Raw genomic sequence first — 8,364 nt, 5'->3', positions numbered from 1 at the left:
CCTGTTATTTTATATTGCCCAGAACCATTCCATCTTAAGCTAATACAAGTGAAGGTGTATGCTCATTAATCCTTCATCACATCCAACAAATCGTGCTGTCAACTTCTTTATCCACTGAAAAATTGCTTTCAAATTCTCGAAACAGCATCACTTCATCAGCTGAAGTAACATTTTGCTGGCATCACTGTTTACAGCCCAGTAGTAGCTAGAATCATAAAAGGTTCCTGATTAATTCCTTCCTTTTAAAACGAAATATTTAGTTATTTCACCCGGCACTAAAAAACAGATTCTACAGACCTCTTTGAGTCATGCCCTTATGAAGACAAATAGATTATGACAGAAGACATCATTCTGCTAAGGTTATTGCTTTACACTGGCAAATCAAAGGGAGATGTGTAAAATAGGAGAGGAGAGTTATCTCCTGGGTGAGAACTTTTTCAGACTATTTATTTATTTATTTATTTATTTTTAGATGGCGTTTCACTCTTGTTGCCCAGGCTGGAGTGCAATGGTGCGATCTTGGCTCACGGCAACCTCCGCCTCCCGGGTTCAAGTGATTCTCCCGCCTCAGCCTCCCGAGTAGCTGGGATTACAGGCACGCACCACCACATCAGGCTAATTTTGTATTTTTAGCAGAGACGGGGTCTCTCCATGTTGGTCAGGCTAGTCTCGAACTCCCAACCTCAGGTAATCCGCCCACCTAGGCCTCCCAATGTGCTGGGATTACAGGCATGAGCCACCGCGCCCGGCCTTTTCAGATAATTTCATTACAGAACAAGGTGTCCCCAAAGCAAAGGTTTCAGAAGCTGGGTTCTGAATGGATTTCCACATAGAAATAACGTTGGCAAACCTCTAGGGAAGGGCTTCAAACCAACTGTAAAAGGTGAACTTCATTGGGACACCAAAGGCATATATTAAATATGTTTATGCAGAAGCACAAGAAAAAGTGAATTAAAACAATAGTAGATTTTCAGTTATCTAGGAAACACTTATCTTGGAAGAAACTAACAGTTTCCACACAAACTTAGGCTAAGTATAAGCTCATAATCATTTATCTGTTGTCCTGTGTGTTAAATCAGGAACAGCAGGAATCCCTTCTCTATTTATTTCATTATTTTAAATATTTTTTCCACCTTTAAAGTAGTAAAATTACCCACGAGTATATAAAATACGCTTCCTCAATTACCTCTAAAACAATGGCCAGTATTCAACTCTTACTCTTTTTTCTAATATTTTAATTTCTTCACTGCCCTACCAAAGCATACATTTTGTAATTCTTCATCCTTTTGTTTTATATCGGACTTAAAGAAGGTTCTGTCTTTACAGCAGAGGCTTCTAGTCAGGGTTCATATCTTCACAGCCCTTATTCTACATGAATTGACTATTCATACACTTCGACTACTGGGGTATTTGTTATGTACTACTAATGTCTAAGAGAACTTGATATAGTAAGAAAAATTATCCCTCTATGTTCCATACAGGCTAATACTTTTCTACCATATATTATGTTAATTTTATTTGTAGAGTCTTTCAGAAGGCAGAACCATAAATATTTTATATAGTTAAATCTATCCATCTTTTCCTTTTATGGCATTTGAGTTGTGTGTCATGTCAAAAAAGCCTTTCCATAAAGTCCTATTCATAGCTTAAAGAAAAAAAAAAAAGCCTTTCCATCCCCAAAACTAAATAAAAATTATTTGTATTTTTGTCTTAGTATTTTTCTGAGTTTTTCTTTGAACAGTCTAATCTTTAATCTCTCCACCATTCTTTTTTGTGTACGGTGTAAAGTATAACCCTGACGACATACATTTTTTGTGTTTTTCAAATGGATGGCCGGCCAACTGTCCCAACACCATCTGGCCCTTCTACCTAAAAAATCAATTTCAATCATTCCAAGCACCTAAACTCTAGCTTAATGCTGAGAGGAAACTTTCATGTCTGTATTAAGGTGATCACTTTTTAAGTATATTGTTCTTCAAGGGGCTATGTATTCTGCTTTTAGCATTCCCAGCACTTGCTAGAATGAGCATAAAAGTGAGGGTTGGGGTGGGAGTATCAAATTTGACTACAATGTCAAAATACAACCATTAAGCCACTAAAGCAGTTTACAATGTGTATGTATACCTGTGGTACGAATTAAAATTACCCCTTGAACTGCTGCCCATGGACAGCACTTTTACATATGTTCTTTTACTCTTGTAAAGCAGTGGCATCTATACCAGATAAGCACTGTATTTATTATAACTAGGAGTTAACTATGTCTTGATAGCATGGCAAAAAAGATATGGGGAGTGAAGATTCACAGATATTCGAAATTTAAACTATATCTCCTTATTTAAAAATACTTTTAAAGTAGACTATTTAATCTAGTGTTCTTTTTCTGTCAGTTGACAAATGGTATGTCACAAAAAGAACACTACGTATGTCAGAAAAAGAACACTAGGTTAAATGACTGAATGACTGAAACTGACATTTTTGGTAGAAGGGATAGGTAGTGTTAGGACAGTTGGCTGTCCATTTGGGGGGGAAAAAAAGTTTGTCAGGGTTACACCTTACACCATACACAAAAAAGAATGGTGGAGAAAAGATTAAAGGTTAAAGATTTTTAGAGTGTGTGCCTGGATTCAGAATAGGAAAGGGGAGCCTAGAGAACAAAACTTTTCAGGATGTGCCCTGCACTGTTTAGGGCAAAGTACACTCTAGCCACCCATCTGAGTAGCCAACTAGTCTCCCTGAACAACATGAAAATCTTATCACTCTACCTTCAATGATGTGCACCAACAAATGTAATTTCAAACCCAATGCAACCCAGTATTTACTCTGAAAACATTTCTTGATAACCTACCCTATGCCAGTAACCTTGTACTAACTGTGAACAAAACAGGTATTTATGGAAGATTGCCTAAAGAATATGCAGTATCTCCATTCTTCTAATTATTCCAAAATCTTTTCCCTTTTTAAGTCAGACCATTTTGAATAGTCCTCACTCAATATCCTCATCTCCCACCAATTAACTGCCTTAATGAAGGTGCTCTGGTATGATGCATTTGGCCTATACAGGGGCATTCTGAAATTTGTTGGTGTGTCCACAGTAGGAAGACTGTTGAGGGCACTGTTTATTACATTACATAGGGTCCTGTTTATAAGGCCTCTGAAGAGAAGTTTCCTTCTGATCTTAGTACCAGGAATTGTTGTGCTTTTCTTAAAAGTTTGTTTGTTTTCAAATTTTATGGGCATAAATTGACCAAGTTTTCCTTGTTTGCATCATCTACTAAGAAGTTTACAGAGTATTTGGGCCCCACCGGAAATAAATATTAGATTTTTATATTAGGTCTTTTATATTTTTATTTTGCATTTCTTGCCATACAGTTGATAAATCTCTATAAACCAACTTGAGAGACAAAATGAAACAAATAAATAAATGGATAAAATTTACATTAATGCATCTCAAAAAAATTTTTTAATTTAAGGGATCAGAAAAAAGGTCACATGAGAAATCAAGGGCTTACTCAAGAAATTAAGAATATATGGGCTGGGCATGGTGGCTCACACCTGTAATCCCGGCACTTTGGGAGACCAAGGCGGGCAGATCACTTCAGGTCAGGAGTTAGAGACCAGCCTGGCCAACACAGTGAAACCCCATCTGTACTAAGAATACAAAAAAATTAGCCGGGTGCGGTGGCACGCACTTGTAATCCCAGCTACTCGGGAGGCTGAAGCAGGAGAATCGCTTGAACCCTGGAGGTGGAAGCTGAAGTGAGCCGAGATCACGCCACTGCACTCCTGCCTGGGCGACAGAGCAACACTCTGCCAAAAAAAAAAAAAAAAAAAAAAAAAAATATATATATATATATATATATATATACACACACACATATATGGATTTAAAAAATAAAACCAGTAACTCAATTAACTGGAGGAACAGGGGAAGAGGAATTAAGGACAAAAGGGGAAAGAAAAATTAAAGAATACCCCCAAATAATGTATTTGTAGAAATCAGACAAATGGTAGTACAAAATGACTTTGTGTAAACCTAGTCAAGCTTACCATGTAAGTCACAAAATATTTACAAACATTTCTTATTCCACAGACATCACTCAAAATGGTAAAAATAACATACCGGCAGATGAAAAAGAAAATACAAAAATTACTTGATAAAAATGGCCAAAGGGTACCGGAAAAACAACAAACAAGACCAACAGGGCTGTTACTGTAACCTGTTTCTTTTCTGAGCTCTTTCCTCATCCATCCCAAATAGTAGGACAAAAACTTATGCATGCAACAATATGAATCTATTAACTTCTCAACATTCTAAATAACCCAGCAGAAAGTCTAGGTAGGCGTTTACACTCCCCAACACGCATAAGTATGTTCTCGTTAGATAGCCTCTCTCCTTCAAGGTCACTGTCATCTTTTCTCACCACTGACAGACTTTACAATGCTGTCACTGCTGTATGTTAACCCTAGTTCACAAGTATCATCACCATCAAGCCATCTCTACTCAGAAGTTAGATACCTTCCTCCTTATTGTCAGCTTCCTTAAATTTCTTGCTCCCCAAGTCCCAGAGAACTCCAAGCTTGCTAGGAGGTTAGGTGAAATCCAGCACTGAAAATATTTCAGGATTAGTCTTATCATTTCCAAGCCCTTGTGTAGGAAATAGACCCCTAGACTGCTAAAACTCTATTATCTTTCCATTTCTCCTTTATCCCTACCTCCCATATATTTGACTTAAAAATTAAAATTGCCTTTAGAGAAAGCAGAGTAAAAAAAATATGCTCACTCCAGTTCTCTGCTAAGAGAAACATTTTTGTCCAAGAGTAGGGTATGACTCTCCAGGACCACAGTGCCACAGCTGACCCATCCCTGCCCAGACTCTGCAACCATCCCCTTTCTATAAATGAACAGCTAATAGTGGGATGCAAGTAAAGCATGTGACTAACAGGTAGACTGATCCAAGCTCCACCTGCATCCCTAAGCTACTTCTCCAAAGAGGTATAGGAATTAGCTGCGGGGAAGGAGGTGGGGCAGGCACACGTCGAAAGAGAATATTTAAGAAGTCATAAATTTTCAGGAAAACTACAAGTATTCTGAAACGGCCAAAACAGGAAAAATAAATCATTGTTGTACATTTGAAAACTAATGATAAAAGATTTTATATTTAATAAAATTTAGTAAGATTTAATTTAATAAAAATTTAATAAGAAGATGTCGGCCGGGCGCGGTGGCTCATGTCTGTAATCCCAGCACTTTGGGAGGCCAAGGCAGGTGGATCATGAGGTCAGGAGTTCAACACCTGCCTGGCCAAGATGGTGAAACTCCATCTCTACTAAAAATACAAAAATTGGCCAGGCATGGTGGCAGGCGCCTGTAATCCCAGCTCCTCAGGAGGCTGAGGCAGAGAATTGCTTGAACCTGGGAGGTGGAGGCTGCAGGGAGCCGAGATCACACCACTGCACTCCAGCCTGGGAGACAGAGCAATCGTCTGTCTAAAAAAAAAAAGATGTCCAAATTAGAGTAAAAACATTAAAATTAAAGCAATGAAGTGTTTTTCATCAACCTAGGAAAAATTTAAAAGACTAATAGTTAACAGTGCAGGAGAAACTGACACTATTAAATACTGTAGATAAAAAATATAGAGTGGTACTAAAAGCAACCTGACGACATGTACAAAATTTTTAAGTGTGTATATTCTGTTAAAGAAAGTTTATGGGAGACTACTATTTTGGACTAGCCTCCTCCACTAGGTCTCAGCAGAACAGACCAAACCAGTCTTTGGTTTTCTGTTCCTGCATTAATTCACTTAGGATTATGGCTTCTGGCTCCATCCAAGTTACTGCAAAGAATATGATTTCATTAAAATGTTTATCTTATTTAAATGAGTGAACTAAAGAATAGAGAGCAATGGGGGAAAAACAGCAAGTATATAATAGGATATGCACTATGACTCCTTTTTTAAAAATTATGTGTACATGCATGACAGGAGCATGCACACCTAAGCGTGGACATCTGTCTGCAATACATAGGAACAAATCCCAGGAAATGGGCTCAATCACCAAACCAGTCTCGTACTGGTCCTGATGGCATTATGTAACTACTAAGATGTGATTCCAACAGCATAAGCCGGCAATGGCTTTGCCCCTATAGTCTAATCGCCTGAAATCATACTTTCCAGCAACACTCATAAATTGTTAATTCATCTTCTCAGACTATTGTGATGTTGAACATGTCTCTCATAACATAAGAGCATTTTCACCAATTCCTTTCTAACTAATGATGATTGGCATATAAGTGTACATGTATAAAACAGTCTGCCAAAACACCACTCTCCTTGGCCAGAGCATGAAGAAGCAAGTACTCAGAGGGTAGGGAAAGCACTATGAAGAGGAAGATGGGGGGACTTAGCAATGTAGTGTAAAAGAAAAATTGAGAAATAAACAGCATTAACAACTCAACAAGGTGATGCAGGGCATGATTAAATGAGGTGTGAATGACTGGAAACCAATGCCATGAAATAGCTGACTTCTAATAATAGCTATTATTAGAAACAATAATCAACCGTCATGTTTCCTCAACTGAAAGCTACAGCCCTAGTTTAGTAACAGCTTGGTATGGGAGAAAGGAAGTGGTTGGTAAAAAGTGGTAAACAAATCCACCTTTTTGCATAATTTGCTTGCATATTAATTTTAAGTCACAACTCATTTGACAACACTGAAATAGTTTAAATTATGTTTTTATCAAAATAACATGTAAACAGGGTAAATCCTAATTTTCTATTTCACCAACTGGGTCACAAAAAAATATAAATGCTGCTCCAGATGAAAATTATCCCAAGGTTAACATGTGTAATTAGCTTCAGTTTCATATATATTTGTTTTAACAGACATGGTATTGCTCTGTCATCCTGGCTGGAGAACAGTGGCACAATCACAGTCCATCACAGCCTGGAACTGCTGGGCTCAAGAGGTCCTCCTGCTTCGGCATCCAGAATAGTTAGGACTATAGGCAAGTACCAACATGCTTGGCTATTATTTTAAATTTTTTTGCAGAGAGAAGGTCTCGCTATGTTGCCCAGGCCAGTTTCAAACTCATGGTCTCAAGCAATCCTCCCACCTCAGCCTCCCAAAGTGCTGGGATTACAAGCATAAGCCACCAAACCTACCCTAAAATACAATTCTTAACAAAAACCCAAAATGTTGAGAATGTATGGGTTACCAGGATCAGCAGTTTGCATACAACCAACTTCAAAAACGTTTATAGTCAGCATCTAGAAATCCTGAAAGCTAAGTTAACATTAGATCTGATAATCAATTGTCTGTGTCTCCAAAATGCAATACAGAGATAAGAATGCACAATTGATTCTAGAGCACACAATCTGGACCTGGGAACTGTACAAACACTGAGGTTAAACTCAGAATAACAGCTGTTAAATCTATAGATCTTAACAGTGGAAATTCTGCAATCCCCCAATTCCATTTGATATATGCTTCATCATTCCACTGGCCTGAAGCAGAAATTAACGGGTAAGAGCCTGATAATGATCTTAACTGCTTACTGCTATAATCAAAACAGAGACCTAGGTGTGCCACTTAGCCTCTTTAAGCCTCGGTTTCCTAACCTGAAAGATAGGATAACAATACACACCCCATGGGGGTCACTGTAATTAACATAAATGCATGTAAAGCATTTAGTACAACAACTGGCACAAAGACTTGATAAATGTTATTGCTGTTGTTACTAGGAATCAATGTATTTATTGAAAAGTATGGAATCTCGTCCACAATTTCCAACTGTGGACTTGTCACTAAAAAGTACAAAGATCATGCAAATAGCCTCATAACATGAAAATCATCTTTGGCTCTTCAGCTAAATCTCATGCTTCCTGAACCAGCTATGCTGAACTTTTGTTCCTTGAAAGTGCTGTGTTTTCATTAGTTTCAAGAATTGTATGTGCAGTTATGCATCACTTAACGATGCTATGTCATTAGATGATTTTGTCATTGTGTGATCACAGAGCATATTTACACAAACCCAAATGGTATAGCCTACTACATACCTAAGCTATATGGTATAGCCTGTTGCTCCTAGACTACAAACCTGTACAGCATGTTATTCTACTGTTGTACTGCAGGCATCCTAACACAATGGTAAGTATTTGTGTATTTAAAAATACCTAGGCCAGGCACAGGAGCTCACATCTGTAATCCCAGCACTTTGGGAGGCCAAGCCAAGAGGACTGCTTGAGTCCAGGAGTTGAAGACCAGCCGGGGCAACAAGGCGAAGCCCCGTCTCTACAAAAAAAAAAAAAAATTAGCTGGGCATGGGTGCGTGCGCCTGTGGTACCAGCTCCTCAGGAGGCTGAGGTA

General features: G+C 38.2%; 1 protein-coding gene across 10 annotated transcripts in view; it reads right to left on the bottom strand.

Moving 5' to 3' along the window:
• POU2F1 (POU class 2 homeobox 1) overlaps window positions 1-8,364 on the bottom strand; it is a 206,461-nt gene that overhangs the window by 185,734 nt on the left and 12,363 nt on the right. For 2 of the 10 annotated variants that reach the window (NM_001365848.1, XM_047422875.1), the window contains one exon: window positions 2-205. The exons of the other annotated variants lie outside the window; for them this stretch is intronic. The gene's annotated coding sequence lies outside the window, so the exon portion shown is untranslated. Of the gene's footprint in view, window position 1; window positions 206-8,364 lie in introns of those variants that run through there. 10 annotated transcript variants of the gene reach the window in all.

The sequence above is a fragment of the Homo sapiens genome, chromosome 1 (genome assembly GCF_000001405.40).
Source record: "Homo sapiens chromosome 1, GRCh38.p14 Primary Assembly".
NCBI lineage: Eukaryota > Metazoa > Chordata > Mammalia > Primates > Hominidae > Homo > Homo sapiens.
The sequence above is the reverse complement of the archived record's forward strand: the minus strand, read 5'-3'. Positions and strand labels throughout refer to the sequence as shown.